The 19,809-nt window shown below is 39.9% G+C and overlaps 1 long non-coding RNA gene across 2 annotated transcripts in view; it reads left to right on the plus strand.

The window, feature by feature from the left end:
• The window catches only part of LOC105373592 (uncharacterized), a 530,486-nt gene that overhangs the window by 473,062 nt on the left and 37,615 nt on the right, over window positions 1–19,809 (plus strand). For both annotated transcript variants that reach the window (XR_001739684.2, XR_007087222.1), the window contains exon 4: window positions 17,449–17,527. This is a non-coding gene — a long non-coding RNA (uncharacterized LOC105373592). The remainder of the gene's footprint in view (window positions 1–17,448; window positions 17,528–19,809) is intronic.

Below are 19,809 nucleotides of genomic sequence, written 5' to 3' on the forward strand. Positions count from 1 at the left end.
ATGCTGAAGGAAGAGAGATGGTACCCGCATGCAAAAAGTAAGCTAAAAAGAGATGCTGCCTTAAGGCTTAGAGTTAATGATTGGTAGCAGGTGTAGATGTTAATAGTTAAGAAGAACACTGCAGACTGGAAGATGTTGAAGCATTCAGGCAGCTATTGTCTGTATTACAAAATGACTTACGATTAACATGGGATAATGATAATTTAAAAAACCAAGTGAGATACAAAATTGTAGTATAAAAATGTGATTAACATACATGTATTTATTATTACTCATATAAGAATAACGCAGGAATTCAAATTTAAGAAGTGATATATCAGAATATTAAGAGTTACCTCTGTGTTTGGAAAGAGAGATCACATTGATCTCTGCTGTTCTTTATGCATTGTATTTTCAAATTTTCTATCTTGAACATATCTTGTTTCCATACGCAGAAATGTATTTCCAAAAGAAGAAGAAAATAAAAACACGGCCATTTCAACTGCCCCAGGAAGAAATGTAAAAGGATAAACATAATTTCATCAGGCTTTAAAGAGTGTCTCTCATGGCAACTGCTTCTGAGAATCTGATATCTTCTCTGAGGGAAACTGCTCATTAAACAGTTTTCAATAATGTGGTAAAGAAATACAGCAAAGTTATTAAAGAGATGGTGGCTCTCCTAGGGTACACATACCACAGGGGCCAGAACCATTCTTTAAATATATTTTCATTTGACTACTGCTCCTACGGACTGTGGCCATATTACCATACCTAATTTCTAAAACTCCTTTTTAATGGGGGTCATTCTTCTTGCCTTAAAACTGGCTCATTTTATTGCCTCAGTGACTTTGTGGAGCCTGGTGGTTTTATGTTTTTTGATACTCACATATGGTTTGGTTTTTGCTAAATCAAAGGATATAGTCTGCGTGTGATGACTTTAGGAGCCTTTTAACACCTCACCTGCTCAGTGGTTGCTAAAATTATCTAAAAGTGTTTACTTGTTAATTATACAAATTACAGATAAGGTTTAAAAAACAGAGCACCTGGAAGTGGTCATGCATGGCAGTAAAATTACACTAAAGTATACATGTCTACTTGTTACGCATCTATCTATCTATCTATCTATCTATCTATCTATCATCTATCTATCTATCTATCTATCTATCATCTGTCATCTATGCTTTAAACAATCAGAATTGATGGGGATTTCAGGAATCCCAATATTTCTGAAATGGAGGGTGAGGAATAATCAAACCTCAAACCACAGAGTTTTTGTTATGGACAGCGTATTCTTGTCTTATTGAGTACATACCTTGTTTATTAAACAGTTCTGCTCCAGTTTGACCCTAGCCAAAGGAGTTTGTATGGCTCTGTTGAAAGACTGTGAAGGTATGTAATGGACATACCTGGGTGAAAGTCCTCTTTTCCTCTCCTCTGGCTGTGTGATTGAAGGCTGGGTATTCAGTATCTCTGAGGCCTGGTTTCTGTATCTGTCAAATGAAGGTCGTGTAAACCAATGATCTACTCTATGCCAAACACTGCAATGTGTATGCACTTGACATGTGTTTAATCTTTGAATTCACTCCCATTTCGTGGATGAGAAAATATTGAGGCTCATTGGTTTGTTACGGGGGTTAAAAGAGAGAAGGCTTGTAAAGTACAAGGCACAGGTGTCATGTCTCATAGGCACTCAATAAATATTTTTCCAATACTCCAATGTCCTTTGACAAGGGCAAAGCACACCAAGAGAACTAACTCCAACCGTAAATTAATGACTTTAACTTTTTAAGCACCTATTTATTTTCTGCCCGTAAAGATGTGTTCCTTCTTTTTTTCTCTGGTGAATTTCTATCCTATATTTCAAGTTCACATTTTATCAACTACACGAGTCTTTCATATTCACTCTATGAATGCTCATTTTTCCTTCCTTCAAATTTCTGTGTCTTAGAATTTATGCCCCTTGTTCTGGCTCCATATATCATTCTGTTGGAATTTTGGTCTATTTTGTAAACTTTAGAGCCCAAGAGTTGTAGTCTAATTTTATGATTTACTTCATGAAGATTCAAGGAAAAATATTTAATATTTTGGGTCCTAGTTTCCTTATTTGCAAAATGAGGAGGGCAGGACCTTAATTCAATATTCCTTGAGGGTTAGTCCTTAGGTCAAGTTAAATAACGTATGTGGAAGTGTCAACTGCATATATGTACACAGTGGGTTATTCACAAGTGCTAGTTCCTGCTGTCAATAGTCCTTCCTAAAACTAATATTTTTGAAGCACAGACCATTTCTTATTTTTTGTTTGTATCTAATACAAGCCCACTGTCATGAATTATTCTGGTCACATTGAAACATGCAGCTTCCTACATGTGCTGTTCTATGACAAGCATGTTGAAATTTTTTACCTAACTAACTCCTATTCATCCTTCAACACACAGCTCAGGCCTCACTTCCTCCTGGAAGCCTCCTGGGCTTATTTAGGCTGGGGTTTTTCCTCCATTCACAAGGCACTATGTGTTTCTATTATTTTCCTTATTATATTCCATTGCCCACATACATATTTTAGAGAGTAGGCCTTGAGACTCTTAAGTGATTTATTTGTCATTATATCCCTAGAAGAGAGTTCAGGTCATGAAATACAGTTGCTCAATGAACAGTTGCTGAATGAATAAGTGAAGGAATGGATGTAGCAAAAGACTCTGGGGAACTGAGTGCTGCAATTAAGCAAAACATCAGGTAAGATCCTGGAGATGTCTGATTGCCAATGAGTATGTTCAGCATTAAATTACCCCACATACTGTTGGCATTTTTGGTGATTCTTTTATTCCTCACCCTCTTCCATGTCTCAAACTCTTAAATATGGCAAAAGACAGGTCAACAGTTGGCTCATTGGTCAGCCATCATGATGACCTTTGGAAATTTAACCACAAGAGATAGTTTGCCTTTATTCAGCAACTGGTTTATGTAACTTACAATCACTGTAATGGTTCAAATATCACAGTATTTGTATGCATGCAGTAGCCGATCTATAAAACATATGGCATTTTGAAATATTGATCTTTTCAGTGCCAGCAAGTAAGAGATATTAGTGTAGCCTGGGATTCCATTTGTAACTGTGGGATTAGAGTCAGAGAAGTGGAAAATTGGAATAGACCAAACTTCATGTGAAGTGGAAAGTACATCTGGCAGTAGTGCTAAAGAAGGAGAATAACAAATAAGAGAAGCATTATTTTAAAAGCTGACTCAACCATCAAATGGGAAAGGAGCAGTCAGATGAATAGGCTTTAACTGCCTTGGCTTCCTATGCCTCCAGTTTGGCTTTGCGGACTTAAATCCAGCACAACAGCTGGAAAAGGCAAAGCTGAATTGATTTGGAAGCAGGAAAATGTGGCACCCCTATGGGCTCCTGTCACTTCTGTTAAGCAAATAAATGAAAAGAAGAATTCAGAAAGAAGTTCATTGTGGTCAGGAAAGGCTGAAAAAATTAATAGAACATTTTCCTAAAGCGTGGAATAATACCTTATAAATTTCTTTCAATGTCGTTTGCACTATGAAGTCCTTCTAGATCCTCACTTTCATGTCCACCTGCAGATCTGATCCTTTTCTTTTCTTTCAGTTCTTAACTCTTTGAAATATTTTGGGATAATGCCTTGTGTGCTTGACTTTGTGTATTTACCCATTTCCTTTGCTTTGGGTGGGAATCTGGTTTTATTTGATTTTGTGCATCCAGAGACAAAGTATCTGGCACACTAGCTGGCTATTTTGACTGAGTGGCTGCTAAATCAATCTAGAAGAAATTTAGGAATATTTAGTTCATATCCTACGCACTAGACCTCTAAATAATTTCTATCCAAGAATTTATTCCCCATTCTCAGATGGGGCCAATTTCTCCATTTTTCACTTTTTCTCTGCAATGAAAAAGTAACTGGGATTCCATTTGTTGAAAAGAGGAAACGAAATTGACTGAAAAGAAATATTTCATGTAACAGTGGTCAGCAGTTCTCATCTCCTTGGTTCTTCTTTCTTTAGTAGTCTCTTATAGGTTAGTGTCTACCATGTTCCTGAAATCAAGCCATAAAAGACCACCTAGAAGATTCTGAGAATTTTTATACTAAGTGGAAAAGACAGTAATAGTCAACAAATATTTTATTGACTCTTCTTTGTTTCTCAGTTTTCTTTCTTTTTTTTGCTCTAATTATATTTTAAGTTCTGGGGTACATGTGCAGAACGTGGTGGTTTGTTACATAGGTATACACGTGCCATGGTGGTTTGCTGCACCCATCAACCTGTCATCTACATTAGGTATTTCTCCTAATGCTATCCCTCCCCTAGCCCCCCACCCCCCTGACAAGCCCTGATGTGTGATGTTCCCCTCCCTGTGTCCATGTGTTCTCATTGTTCAACTCCCACTTATGTGTGAGAACATGTGGTGTTTGGTTCTGTTCTTGTGTTAGTTTGCTGAGAATGATGGTTTCCACGTTCCTCAATGTCTCTGCAAAGGACATGAAGTCATCCTTTTGTATGGCTGCATAGTATTCCATGGTGTATGTGTGCCACATTTTCTTTATTCAGTCTGTCATTGATGGGCATTTGGGTTGGTTCCAAGTCTTTGCTATTGTGAATAGTGCTGCAATGAACATACATGTGCATGTGTCTTTGTAGTAGAATGATTTATAATCCTTTGGGTATATACCCAGTAATGGAATTGCTGGGTCAAATGGTATTTCTAGTTCTAGATCCTTGAGGAATTGCCACACTGTCTTCCATAATGGTTAACTAATTTACACTCCCACCAACAGTGTAAAAGCGTTCTATTTCTCCACATCCTCACCAGCATCTGTTGTTTCCTGACTTTTTAATGATTGCCATTCTAACTGGCGTGAGATGAAGAAGACATTTATGCAGCCAACAAACCTATGAAAAAAAGCTCATCATCGATGGTCATTAGAGAAATGCAAATCAAAACCACAATGAGATCTCAGTTTTCTTTCAAGTAGAGAGGGCCATGCAGCCACTTCTGGCCAATGAACTGTCAGGAGGTGCTCCATCTCCCTTTCACACTAAAGTAGTAAAAAAGCCCAAGTGCAATTTGCTACCTTTTCTCTTGCCTGTTATAACAATAGAGGAGGCTGCATACCACAGACGGTGTTCTATAAGATAGAGGAGCCTCCCTTAACCCAATCTTTTAGTATTATGAAACCCCCACCAACCCACTGGGGACATACATACAGCATAAGGAGAATCAATTGTGTGTTTTAAGTAGCTGCATTTTGGGGACTGTTTGCTATGGCAGCATAACCTAGGCTATCCTGACTAATACCCATTACTTACACATTATCAGCAATTCATATATATATATATATTTCATTTATGGATGATAGGTTCACAGAGTTTGAGTGAAATGAAGCTTCTTGAAGCACGTTCTTATCCTTTGAAGGAGATGTCATGATACCAAGTGACTGTTCTTAGTATAGCATCATTAGTGCCACTGAAACTCATGAAACAATTGATTTGCTAGTGTGGTTTGGTTGAGCCAAATTATCATATTTTATGTATAACTCTGTACTTGATGCTATAATAGGGGAAAGGGAGAATAAAGGAGGATTATAAAATATATTTTCTGTTTTCCAAAAATTGATAAGTAAACTTTATTGTTTTGAGGAAGAGAAATATTATGCAGTTGAAGCAATGATGTAACAAAGCAGGAAAATATTGTATAATACTGAATAAATGTAATCTTCCATTGAGGCCCAAACACGTGGATAAAGGTAAATCTGCTTTGACATAATTGGACTCTACCATCTTGTCTTTGAATCACTGTGGTGATCTCTCAGACAATTGTTCTTGAAGAGTGCCTCGTTTTCGATGCTGAGCTCTAAATGAATGAGGTGGAGTAGGTTAAGAGGAAGTTTCTCAGAGGGACTGTAAGTTGAACTTGACCTTGAAGGATGTACAAGAAAGAGGTGGGAAAAGCATTCAATGCTTTGAGAAGAAAGATTAGAATGGAGGGGGTATGGGAATGACTACTTGGGTGGACCAGGGGATATGTTAGAAAACAATAGAGGAGGTCCAGGTTGTAGGGGCTGGGGGGACTTTTCTTATTCACTTAGAAAAATAATTCTTCATTAGCTAACCTTGTTTGTTGGTTAATCTTGTGCATTCTTCACTGTCAAGTTTGTAGTTTCTATGAGGTGATTAAAATGTGAGAACTTTTCAGTTTTCACCAAGGTATATGGTTCTAAATCATTTCACTATCCATACAAAGCCACAAACTCATTCCCTAATCTCTATCATCATCTATCCTTTATCCTTTTTATCATCACTCTTGCTCTTACTGTTAACACCAGATAGATACACAGGCTGAGGTACAGCAATGAAGTTTCTATGAGGATGGCTTGTATTCTAGATGGAACCTTAGGATGATGTTTACTTTCTCATGTCTTCGTTTATTCTTCTGTTTATTTGGCAAGTGTTAATTGAGTGTCTGCAATTGGGCTAGGTGTTAGGGATATAAAGAACAGTGTATTCTCTGCCCACAGAGTCTTAGAAGGGAAATAGGCTTACAATATTCTGCAGCACAGAGGGTTAATTATATAAGAGTTATGTTTGAGGAACAGTAGAGAGACTTAATTCCTGACAGCTGAAGTTCAAAACTGACCAGAATTTTATGTCAACTGATCTCTGGGTTTGAATTACTTGACTTGGCTACAACTAAAATATTTCCTTTTGGGTTAGTCTGATCCTGATGCGTAACAATGGACTCAATATCTTCCACTAGGGGTGCTTCCACCAGCCACATGCCACATGAAATAGGAGTTTGGGTACAATGACCCTCCAAAATAATTTTGGAGTATTATTGCCAGAAAGAGGAAGAAAAACATACAAATAGAATAAAAATCACAAATATCTACTACCTGTTGGTGAGCCTTTCTCAACAGAATTTTAGGAAGCCATGGAACATACCAGTTCAGAGGAGAGAAACCTAGAATATAAACTAAATCTTTCTTGAGGGAAAGAAGAGGTACATGGAAGTGTGATACTCTCTTTTTCCCTTCACATTCGATCTCTAGCCTTCTTTCCACCCTCCTCTGTTTGCCAAGAAACTGGCTTCCATGGGATGCCCTAAGCAAGATTCTTTGCTCTGTGACTTCCTCACTCAGAAGATGAGAAGGTGGAAGCAGAAAGAGGGAGAGTGTGTATTCACCTGGCTCCCTCCCTGCTGAGCTGAGATGGGCATAACCTTCTATCCTGTCCCATGATCCCAAGTGGGAGACAACATCTACAGCTGCTACTAAAATTATGGCAATCACCCTCACCAAGGTCTACAATGTTTTCTCTCTTCTTGCCCTTTCAAGGCTAAGGGATGGAGCTGCTGCCTGCTGTTGCTGGCCCTGGGGTGCTTCACTGTTCCTTGCTGGCTCCTCTTAACCTTATTCACATCGTTTAAGCACGTGAAATATTACTCTGCTTGAGTGGGGTGTGTTTCTTGCTGGGTCTGCTAATGCAGGGTGGGACCTAGGTGCTGGTGTTGGGTGAAATGCAACTGAGGACGTAGACCTCCACATTTAGAGACTACAGAAATGGATGGCAGGTCACCACTGGCCCAGGCAGGTGGAGTTGCAGCAGGCTTGCAGAGCATGTTGAATGGTAGCCCAGGAGCAGGCAACACACACACCCAAGCTAGGCAGGGAGGGGGCTGATGGCAAGTAATAGCAGGGCCACTGCACTGGATTGCTCCAGTGATCACTATTCACGTTGCTTTCTAAATAATACAAATATTTTCATTGGCATTCAGAAGCCAATTCTGGCCTTAGGGTGAGAGTTACCCAAGATAAAGTACTGATAAATGTAAAGATGATGGTAATAACACCACTTTTAAAAATTCAAATGAGAGTACTAGCAATTCTTCCAATGGCTGCATTTTCCTTTGATAGGTTTTCTTTAATTTTAATTTTAATTTTTATACTTTAAGTTCTAGGGTACATGTGCACAATGTGCAGATTTGTTACATAGGTATACATGTGCCATGTTGGTTTGCTGCACCCATTAACTCGTCATTTACATTAGGTATTTCTCCTAATGTTATCCCTCCCCCCGTCCCCTACTCCATGACAGGCCCCCATGTGTGATATTCCCCGCCCTGTGTCCAAGTGTTCTCATTGTTCAATTCTCACCTATGAGTGAGAACATGTGGTGTTTGGTTTTCTGTCCTTGTGATAGTTTGCTCAGAATGATAGGTTATTTAAACTCTCTAAGCCTCAGTTTCCTCATCTATGGACTGAGGATAATGATAGCCGCTCTTGAGTGAGAGCTAATCTTGTAGCAGCCCATGGGAAGTACAGGCTTGGCAAAAATGTGGTGATGGATTTCTGAGCACAGCACCTGAGGTCCATTGTGTGTGCCCTGTAGCTAGAAGTTTGTGATGTGCATTCTCTTCTGCATCATGTAGCAGAAGTCTGATTTTAAGGAATGGTATACAACCTCAGAGCCAAACTAACCTCCAGGTTGCCTTGGTGCTGAGTGACCTGAATTAGAAAACTCAGCCGGCTGGGCGCGGTGGCTCATGCCTGTAATCCCAGCATTTTGGGAGGCCAAGGTGGCAGATCACTTGAGGTAAGGAGTTTGAGACCAGTCTGGCTAAAATGGTGAAACCACATCTCTACTAAAAATACAAAAATTAGCCGGGTGTGGTGGCACATGCCTGTGTAATCCCAGCTACTCGAGAAGCTGAGGCAGGAGAATTTCTTGAACCCAGGAGGCAGAGGTTGCAGTGAGCCAAAACCGCACCACTGCACTCCAGCCTGTGTGACAGAGCAAGACTCTGTGTCAAAAACAAAACAAAACAAAACAAACAAATAAACAAAAACTACAACTATTTAAAATTCTTCCTGAAGAAAGGACAATGTCCTTCTCAGAGTATGGGGTTAGGTTAAGCAGCAAAAATTGATAGTAAAACATTGCAATGTGGTACAGGGCTTAGGCAGGTATTATATTATCATGTGGGTTATATGACAGAGAAAAACACACAAAAACCCCAAACAAAACAAGAAGCATCTGAGATAAGCAGCCTTATTTTTATAGGTATTTAGCAATGCTAAAGGGTATCAAAGACTTTCATTAGGAAAGCAGGCTTCTTAGCATTACTCCAATCCCACCCAAGCCATCAGAGTAATTAAACTCCATATGCCTCCATCACAGGTCCTGTATTTTTTTTTAAGTATTCAGAGTTAGCTTGTTTGTTACGTAATACAGTTGGATGACAATCTAAGTAACTGACCTAATAATTTATTTAAAAATTGAACCTGTGATGTTTTTGCATCTTTTCAAGATTTTTTTTTGTTTCAGAAAATCAATTTTAATGAGATTATATCAAGAGTTAGTTTTAATGAAGGGTTTATTGGAAAGGCAGTCCAGTAAGTACTTTTATCTAAGAGGCCTAAAGGGCAATAAAAACATACATTTGTATACCTATCAGTTACAGACTTATCTAAAATAAACAATAATAACATTGTAATGAGAATGAAAAATTCTATCACGCACAGCGATTAGAAGCAGCTCGGCATTAAAGTATAACTGATGACAATCCAATTAAGCCATGTATTTCCTCCTTGGTTTAGGGTTACTTGCTTGAAGCACTCCATGGCTCCAAACAGGCTTTTGTATTTGCTCTGACAACAATTGGTGTCATAGCTTACCATCATTTTCAATTTTATGGAAAATTACAATGCAGTATAACATGCTTTTAAGACATAATGATTATGTATTTGGAGAGTAGAGTGAATTATTAAATCACAAACTCTGGCATTCTCCCTAAAACTGATACGTCAGTGAGCCAGTTTGTCAAACTTTGATAAGAAGTTGGGATGGGTAGTGTTGAAATAAGATGAAAGGGGCAATAGGGTGGCCATATCCCAGTGATATCTGCCAAATATTTAATTAAATAGTATCTGAAGGTGTAGACCAGTTGGATCAGCTTTTTTTGTTTTTTTCTTTTCTTGCATTTACACACTGTAGAAAGATCAAATCAACCAAAATATATGTTTAATCTAATTATCTATGCTGTCATTCTGTGTGCAGAAATGGGGGCCAGGGAGGGGCCTGGGTGGGAGAAGGGGGTTCAGAAGGGGAAGCACTGGCTCTTGTACATAAAATACGATAAATCAAGCCCACTCTGTTTCAGTTTGACACATACTCTCTTCATACAGGCCCAGACCTGATCATGATAAAAATTATTTATGTTTGCTAAACTTCCAGAAGGAGCTAGTAGATTAAAGAGGAAATGAATTTTGGTATTTTCACTAATTGATTTTACTCATCTAATTTATTTGTATTTCTACAAGAAATTAGTGAGCTGCTGCTATATTTCAGGCACCATTTCAGGCACTGGCAACATAAAAATGAGTGAAGCATGGTTTCTATTCTCTTTAAGTTTACAGTTTACTGGGGGAAGGCACATATGTTTATAAATCAATACTGATAAGTGTCAAGAGTGCTATCACAGAGATTGGTAGAGGGTAGAGAAGTTGCCAATTTTTTAATTTTTTTTTTGAGACAGAGTCTTGCTCTGTCACCCAGGCTGGAATGCAGTGCTGCCATCTCGGCTCACTGCAACTTCCACCTCCTGGGTTCAAGCGATTCTCCTGCCTCATCTTCCTAAGTAGCTGGGATTACAGGCCCATGCCACCTTACCTGGCTAATTTTTGTATTTTTAGTAGAGATGGGATTTCACCATTTTGGCCTGGCTGGTCTTGAATTCCTGACCTCAGGTGATCCGTGCACCTCGGCCCCCCAAAGTGCTGGGATTACAGGCATGAGCCACCAAGCCTGGCCGAAGTTGCCAATTTTTGTCAGTGGTAGGAAGAGGATAGCAGTGAGGGCCTCTGGGTGAAGGTGACAGCTGTGCCAGAGTGCACAGGTGGAACTTTGGAAAAGCCTGGTGTATTCATCAGCCTAAAGTAGAGAAGCTCACGTTAGCTGGAGCTGTAATGAGAAAAGAGGCTGCAGATATTAGTGGGGACTGATTGTGGGTCTCTGATGTCTTATTAAGGAGCTTAGAATTCATTTTAGAAGTTCTGGGAGAAGGTTAAAGGCAGGATAGAAACATGGCCAGGATTCTATGTTAGACAGGCATCCATAGAGAGGAAAGATCTGATGGCATGTGTGCAGCTGGAGATGAGGAGACAATGGGGATGATATTGCAAGAGCAGCAATGGCTGAAATTTACTGAGCTCTTAATGTGTGCCAGGCATGTTATATGGATTTGTGGATTTAATCCTTACTATGACCTGAGTGGTAGTTACTATCAGTTAATGATAGTTTATTAAACAGAGAAAAATATCTGGGGAGGTTAAATAACTTGTCCAAGGTAGGAAAGTAATGGCTGAGCTGGACTTTCACTCAGTCACTTAATTACTCTTTGGTCCTTCCTTCCCAGGGAAGGTGTGTGGCCATCATGACCCATGACAAAGCGATGGCAGATGGAAGGAGACAGGGCACAGTAAAAAGACATTAAGAAGGTGAAATTTGAGATAGCTCACTTAACTGATGCAATAATTTCTTTGTAAATATGCCAGGTCTTCAAATCCAGTAGTCTAGAGCTCCAAATTAACTGATTCTGAGGCTACTATGTTTCATTCTATTAGCACTTTTAAATTTACTGTGGAATAATCCACGAGCTTTGTTTAAAGCAGGAGTACTCTTAGCTTTTGAGGCTAAAAGCCAAACCAAAATGAAGCCTTTTAAGGTGTCATGGGTCAAGGGCCCCTTGAGCATCCTCTGAACTCTCAGAGTGGCCTGTGTTTATTTCTTTCTTAGTATTTACCATGCTGCACTGGAACAATCTGGCTGCTGCTCTGTATCTTTCTCCAAATTGATGTTTTTGAGGGCAGGGATCATTTTCCAGGTCAGTTAAATTCAACCAACATGCATGGAGAGTCTGCTGTACCATAGGAGGTAGGCATTATTTTAGGCTCTGGCAATAAGTTTATACACAAGATATTGTTCTGGCCAGACAGTTGAAGGGGAAGCTGATGCATTTTCAGCCCATTTCATTGCAATGTGGTGGGAGTGCTCATGAGGGCACATGTGGGGTCTGTGGAGGTATAGATGAGATGTACTGTATCAAATTCTGTGTAGAGAAAAGGGATTTGGATAGATTTCCCAAAGGAGGTGATTATGGAGGTGAACATTTTAAAATGTAGATCTTATTATTATTCAAGTATAGTGAGGCCAACATATCAGAAGACAATTGTCATTGAAAAGATAGTTTGTTACTGAAGGCATCACTGCAGGATTATAACTGAGAAAATTATTACAGTGAAAGAGATCTGATCTAACCAACTCCAAGCTGTCCTTTTTCCCTCCTGGGTATAGACCAAACTAACATTAGGAGAAACCTAGTTTATAGTTTAACTTTGAAACAAAGACGATAACTGCCCTTTCCCAAAACAAACTCTCTTCCTCACTGGGGACTATAATGCCTCTGTAGGGCTAACAAATTAGCCTTAAGATGAGAAATTATAATTTAGGAGTCATGCAGCTGGAGGCTACAAGATTCTGACCCTCCCCATATTGCTCCTAGAGATAACATCACTATTGAAAAACCTAAGGTCAGTGTTTGAGATATTTTGCAGATCCTGCACTTGATGGATCAGCTGGTACCACCCAGATTGATAAACTGGCTCATTTGATTTTGCAGTCCCTTACCCAGGACCTGACTTAGCACAAGAGGGCAGCTTTAACTTCTTATGATTCCATCTCCGACCCAACCAATTAGCACTCCTGACTCACTGGGCCCCCACTCACCAAATTACCCTTAAAAACTCTGATCCCTGAAGGCTCAGAGAGACTGATTTGAGTAATAATAAAATTCCCGTCTCATGCACAGCTGGCTTTGTCTGAATAACTCTTTCTCTATTGCAATTCCCCTGTCTTGATAAATTGGCTCTATCTAGGCAGCAGCCAAGTTGAACCCATTGGAGAGTTATACTACTTACAGTTCCCAAGAAGAAGGGGCACACGATGCCATGCTTTGTGGGGCCACTCAGGGAAGAACCAGGGTTATGCAGGAGGCAGAGGGAGTGAGGGAGAAATGTGAGCAAGGGCCTTTATTATGGTTTATGTGGGAAGAAATGAGGGAAACAAGACTAACAGACTTAGGGTTGGCAAGTTTGAGTAATTTCAGCAGGCTCTAAGTTGTAGGGGCTGTCCCTAATGGTCTGGTATCTGGCTCTGGGGTGATGAGGGCAGGGGAATTGTCAATTTGAGTGACATTCCAATAGAGGAGGTGGTTGGGTGTGGACTCTGGATTGGTTGATTTGCATATGAAAGATCCACTTGCAGGTGAGTTGTTTATTATTTTTAGGAATTGCACAGCCCTGGGAGGAGGGTCCCCCTAAGATCAGCAAGGCCCCAGATGTCAAAGCATCAGAATGCAGAAAATACACGATTAATACGATAAATCTTGGGGCAATGAAAAAGAATTATCCAAGCAAAGCATTGGTCAAGGGCACACCAAGGAGACCAAAAGCTTGAGCAAGTAGGATACGCACAGTTCAGTGCAGTGTGCTACCTGTAGCTCAGGTTCAGTAGAAATGCAGAATTAGAAATGGCAAGAGGTAAGACTGCAGGAAAACACCAAAGGCAAAGTTGGGAGGAGTTTGGAAGGTCTCCTGGAGGATGTGCATTCTGGAGAGAGGATGAAAAGCAGCTACAAGAACACCAGACAGAAGGCTGTTATCGTCACTCTAAGTCAGAGAAGGTGAAGGCTTAGACGAAGAAGGAGATGGCCGCGTAAATGAAAAACAAGGTTGCATAGTAGAAGTGAAAGAGACAGGATTTGTTAGGGATTGACTATTGGGGCAGCATTAATTTTGTGTTGTGTCTCCATGTCTTGCCGTGTGGGAGATATTCAGATCATATTCGTTAAATAAATTCATTTCTGGTCAAAAGATGCTTTAAATTTTGTTTTTTGCAAGTTCTTACATAAACCACCTTATTCACTGGAAATCTCAAATTTGAGATTTATAGTGGAGCTTTCATATTTCCTCAAATGGCTAAAAAACCAAGTTAGTTACTTCCAAGATAGAGTGGGGATACAGACATTGGGTAAATGCCCCCATTCCAAAAGGGAGACATTGGCCAAACAAAGGGGCTACAGGCCCCATGCAAGCCTGAAACCCAGCAAAGCAGTCATTACATCTTAAAGCTCCAAAATAATCTCCTTTGACTTCATGTCTCATACCCAGGGCACACTGATGGAAGGGGTGAGCTCCCACAGCCTTGGGCAGCTCCACCCCTGTGGCTCTGCAGGATACAGCCCCATGGCTGCTTTCACAGGCTGGCATTGAGTGCCTGTGGCTTTTCCAGGTACGTGATGCAAGCTGTCTGTGGACCTACCATCCTGGGATCTGGACAATGGTGGCCCTCTTCTGACAGTTCCACTAGGCAGCTATTGTCTTGGCTATTAACACTCGGCTCCTTGTTATTTGTGCAAATTTCTGCAGCCGGATTGAATTTTTCCCCAGAAAATGGGTTTTTGTTTTCTACCACGTGATCAGACTGCAAATTTTCCAAACTTTTATGTTCTGCTTCCCTTTTAAACCTAAGTTCCCATTTCAGATCATCTCTTTGTGAATGCATATGACTGTACACTTTCAGAAAAAGTGTGGTCACCTCTTGTATGCTTTGCTGCTTAGAAATTTCTTCTGCCAGATACCCTAAATCATCTCTCTCAACATGTGGGGATTACAATTCAACCTGAGATTTGGGTGAGGAAACAGAGCCCAACTATATCAACACAGATAGCCTTAAAGAAAGAACTTCTCTTACAGAATCAGAGAGAAGATTTCCTATGGCAGATCATACTGGTTCTGACAGCAAGAAGATTTTGGATGCTTCAGTTAATTAGTTTTATGGCAAATATATCATAAACATGTCCCTTATTAGTCTTAAGGGGCTTTATTTTCACAAGGTTTTGAGAAACTGGACATACCATTGCAGTGTCTAACGACTACCTTGGATCCAGGTAAAAAAAATCTGAAACCTTGCTCATGGCTGTAAGCCAATAACACCCACACTTGTCTGTCATGGTATTGCAGTCATAAACTTTGTGATTGCTGTGATTGACTGGGGTGATGCAATCAGCTGGAAAGACATTTCCTGTTTGGTGTCTAACTTTCTGACTGCATGCTTATGAAGAGACAAAGACATCATATTTTTTGCTCAGAAAAGTGTGTTTTTAGCTTAGTTTTCAGTGAAATTTCTTCTCTCATTATGGTAAAGATTTTACTATATAGGAAAGTAATGTGTATCATGTAAAGGACTTTGCAGAGATAATTTTATTTAATTCTCGCAGCAGCTCTGGAAGGAAAGTATTGTATAACAAACTGGATGAAAGATAACAACAGTGCTTGGGGGTGATATGGGGCTTGTTCATGGTACCATGATTTTGTTGGTGCAAATTTTTTGTTTTGGCTGGATATAGGGTATTATGATTATTTAGCATGGCAAAAATTTAAATCAGATTTATTGAGCTCATATTCTTTCCACTCTTATTAAGTTTATTATTATTATCATCATATTATTATTATTATCATCACAAAAGGGATGCTTACTGACTATAGAAAATTTTTTAAAATAACAAGAAACCTTACCCATAACCCATTATAAACATGTTTGTCTTTTTTAGTTTTTTTTCTTTTCTAACCATTTTTCCCCTATTTTTGCATGGCTATGAATACACTGCAAAGGTAATTTTGTATCATTTGGAAAGATTTAAATTATTTTAGGAGAAAAGAGTTTAAAAGATATGAGAGGGGCTGAAAGTAGGAGGGAACGTAAGCAGGAAGAAGTGGAAAGAGATATGAAGAACTAAGAAACTTTGCAAACTCAAGAATATGTCAATCATAACTTATTTTGAAATATTTCTGTAGTCTAAAAGGAATAGCATCCTGTCATTGCCAATACCTATACTTAGAAGACACCTGTACCATTATGTAGCCAAACTTCCAGAGACTCAGGAAATTCTTATTAGAGTAATTTGCCTTCCTTACATATCAGTCAAATATTGCAATTACTAGGTCATTATGACAGTTGCATTCCTTTCTCTAGACCAGGAAATAGTCGCTGAAGAGCAAAGTTGCATGGACAGTATTTGTGAGACTGTAATTAATTATGAGACCTTCTTAACTCATCCAATAATGGAACTAGATCAAACTAGAGAAAAAATGAATGTGATTACCTGTATTAAGAAATTCCTTCCAAGCAATATTTTAAAATGGTAATCAGAATTCAGCTACTCCCTGGTGACTGATAAATTTAAACTAAAGTTAAATAATTATTTTCAAAAAGTTAATTATTATAATGTAATGCTTGGCTTCATTTCCTTAATAAATGAATCACCTTATTTCAGCCTTGCAAATTAGCATGTAATATGGAATCCAGCCAAGGGAGGCATTAGGACTTGAGGAAACAGAGGACGTTCTACATGCCCTTTCTGCCATCTAACTGCCTTTAGGGATAACATTTTACTGGTTCGAGTTTCTTGTTTTAGCTGGATATAGAGTATTACGATTATTTAGCAATGGATGTCAATGCCAAGAATCAATCTGTACTGTACATGACTAGAATTAGCAGAAATGTGATTTGAACTATGTAGGACTAATCATGAAAGTATGCAATTAGGTGGATTGTTTTGTCTGAAGATAGAAGTGCAACCTTTTGTGTTGGCTGTGCTATCGGACCAACAGGTTCATATACCCACTGTGCAGTAACAGACCAATACACTTTCTTTGTGGCAGGGTTTGCAGCTGAGAAAGAGTTTAATAACCAAAGGGCACCGACAAGGAAATGGAAGGAGACCCTCAAATCCATCTTCCCAAGGAGTTCTGAGCTGGGGCTTTGAAGGGGATTATGGAGGGTGAGGGCTTGAAAGATTGGGCCTCTTGATAGATCAGGATAAGAGGGATAAAATCATCAGGATGTGGGCCGGGCGCGGTGGCTCACGCGTGTAATCCCAGCACTTTGGGAGGCTGAGGCGGGCAGATCATGAGGTCAGGAGATCGAGACCATCCTGACTAACACGGTGAAACCCCGTCTCTACTAAAAAATACAAAAAATTAGCTGGGCGTGGTAGGGGCGCCTGTAGTCCCAGCTCCTCGGGAGGCTGAGGCAGGAGAATGGCGTGAACCTGGGAGGCAGAGCTTGCAGTGAGCCGAGATCGTGCCACTGCACTCCAGCCTGGGCAACAGAGCGAGACTCCGTCTCAAAAATAAAAATAAAATAATAAAAAAAAATCATCAGGATGTGGAAACTGCATTCTTTAGTGAGTCAGCTTCTTTGGGTCCTTCAGACCAGCTGACGTCAGTAGTTTCACCGTTAAGCAGGACTTGAAAGAAATGAAAAGCTTAACATTTCATATTGTTCAAGTTGTTATCTGTAGAGCAATTAAGGGGAACTATAATCCTGTAACAGGGTCTATGCGATTCTGAGGCAAGAGGCATGAAACAACTCTGAGGAAGCAGGTCGGAGAGCAGCTGACCTGGTGATCAAGGTGAGTGTGCTGCAAACTCGGTTTTTTTTCCTTTCTCCCTATCCCTTCTTCTCTGATTAACTTTGTAAAGTTTATACAAATGGTTTCAGCAGTGAGGTCAGTAATACATGCTCAACAGAGAAGGCAGAAGTTACATTTGATGGATGAAGCCAAGTAGGAGACCAAAAAGCCACATGTGGAGGAAAACATTCAGATTCCCAGACTGAGAGTGAAGGTGGTTCAGGATCCAAATATAGGTAATATATTGCGAACAGGTACTGATATGAGATGGCCGTAACTTTGACAAATGTCCCCTTGTTACCATAGATGGCTTTTTTGCTCCAAGTAGGTGATTATCACCCCTGCAAGGTCATCTTGAGGAAATCACGATGTTGGAATAATGGAACCATCTCTGACCAATGAGCTAAATTTAGGTAATTGGATAAAGCCCAGATTCCCAGGTTAAGCTGTCCCAAAACAGACGCATTAAAAATATTTTAAATAATAAACATGACAGAAACATGGCAAAAATAAAGTTATAATCACTGGGGTTAAGGAAGTTATTTCAAATAACTTTAAGCAGGCCATTGGTTAGGTTACTAATTTTCCAGCCACTGGAAGTAACAAGTTACCTGTCAATCCTCCTCCCCTTATCCATAGGCTCTGGGTTTTTTTAAAACTCAGATTTCATCTTTTTTCCCAGGTATCACAGCAAAAAGTCTGAAACTCTCGTTTTCCTCCACAATAGTTTTCATTCACTTCTTTTAGATGACACGTGTTTGTGACTTATTTTCTATCCTTATTTATATCTCCTGTTCATATCTTATTTTCTTAATTGATAATAATCTTTCTGAGGGCAGAAATGAAGACTTGGAACTTTGCATTTTTTCCAGTCATGCTGACACAGTACCCCGCAGACAGCACTTACTAAAGGGATGAGGGACAATACGGTGAGAACCAGCCATTACCTTCAAATGCCTTTTCTGGTGGCTCCTCATTCCCACCTTCCCATTTTCAGTAAAACTTACTTGGAAAACTTTTTTCCTCTGTTCTTTTTTTTTTTTTTTTTTTTTTTGAGATGGAGTCTCGCCCTGTCGCCCAGGTTGGAGTGCAGTGGCACGATCTCGGCTCACTGCAACCTCTGCCTCCTGGGTTCATGCCGTTCTCCTGCCTCAGTCTCCCGAGTAGCTGGGACTACAGGCGCCTGCCACCACGCCCGGCTAATTTTTTGTATATTTAGTAGACACAGGGTTTCACTGTGTTAGCCAGGATGGTCTCGATCTCCTGACCTCGTGATCCGCCTGCTTCGGCCTCCCAAAGTGCTGGGATTACAGGCGTGAGCCACCGTGCCCGGCCTTCTCTGTTCTTTTATGAAGAAAAGGGAGCTAATCTCTGTGTTATAGAGGCCTGGGACCTGGGGTTAATCCTCTGACCTACAACATTTTCTAATTCGTTAGTTGATGAGATAAAATAATTTATGTGAAAACACTATATAAACTATTAAGTCCCTCTAGAAGTTGTCACTGATATTTGATTAAACTTCTGAGAGCTGATGATTACTTTGTAGAATTTTTTAAAAATTTGCTTATCACTTGTACAATATTATTTTACATTCACTTTAATAAATTTTGATCTTTATACATAAAGACATTTTATGTTCATAGTACTAGAATGAAACACTGTTAGAGTTAGAATTGACTGTTTTAGTTTGCCAAGGCTGCCATAACAAATACTACAGACTGGGTGGCTTAAACACAGACATTTATTCTCTCACAGTTCTGGAGGCTGGTGTCCAAGATTAAGGCGTTGGCAGAGTTGGTTTCTTCTGAGGCCTGTCTCCTTGGCTTGCAGATGACCACCTTCTCCTGTGTCCTCATATTACCTTTCCTCTGTGCTTACGTGCCTCTGGTGTCTCTTTTTCTTCTCACAAGGATACCAGGCCGGGTGCGGTGGCTCACGCTTGTCATCCCAGCACTTTGGGAGGCCCAGGCTGGTGGATCACAAAGTCAGGAGTTCAAGACCAGCCTGGCCAACATGGTGAAACCCCGTCTCTACTAAAAATAAAAAAAATTAGCTGGGCCTGGTGGTGGGTGCTTGTAATCCCAGCTACTCAGGAGGCTGAGGCAGAGAATTGCTTGAATCCTGGAGGTGGAGGTTGCAGTGAGCCGAGATCGTGCCACTGCACTCCAGCCTGGGCGACAGAGCGAGACTCCATCTCAAAAAAAAAAAATAAATAAATAAATAAAAAGGATACCAGTCCTACTGGATTAGGACTCTACCACTGTGACCTCATTTTACCTTAA

The sequence above is a fragment of the Homo sapiens genome, chromosome 2 (assembly GCF_000001405.40).
Source record: "Homo sapiens chromosome 2, GRCh38.p14 Primary Assembly".
Taxonomy (NCBI): Eukaryota; Metazoa; Chordata; class Mammalia; order Primates; family Hominidae; genus Homo; species Homo sapiens.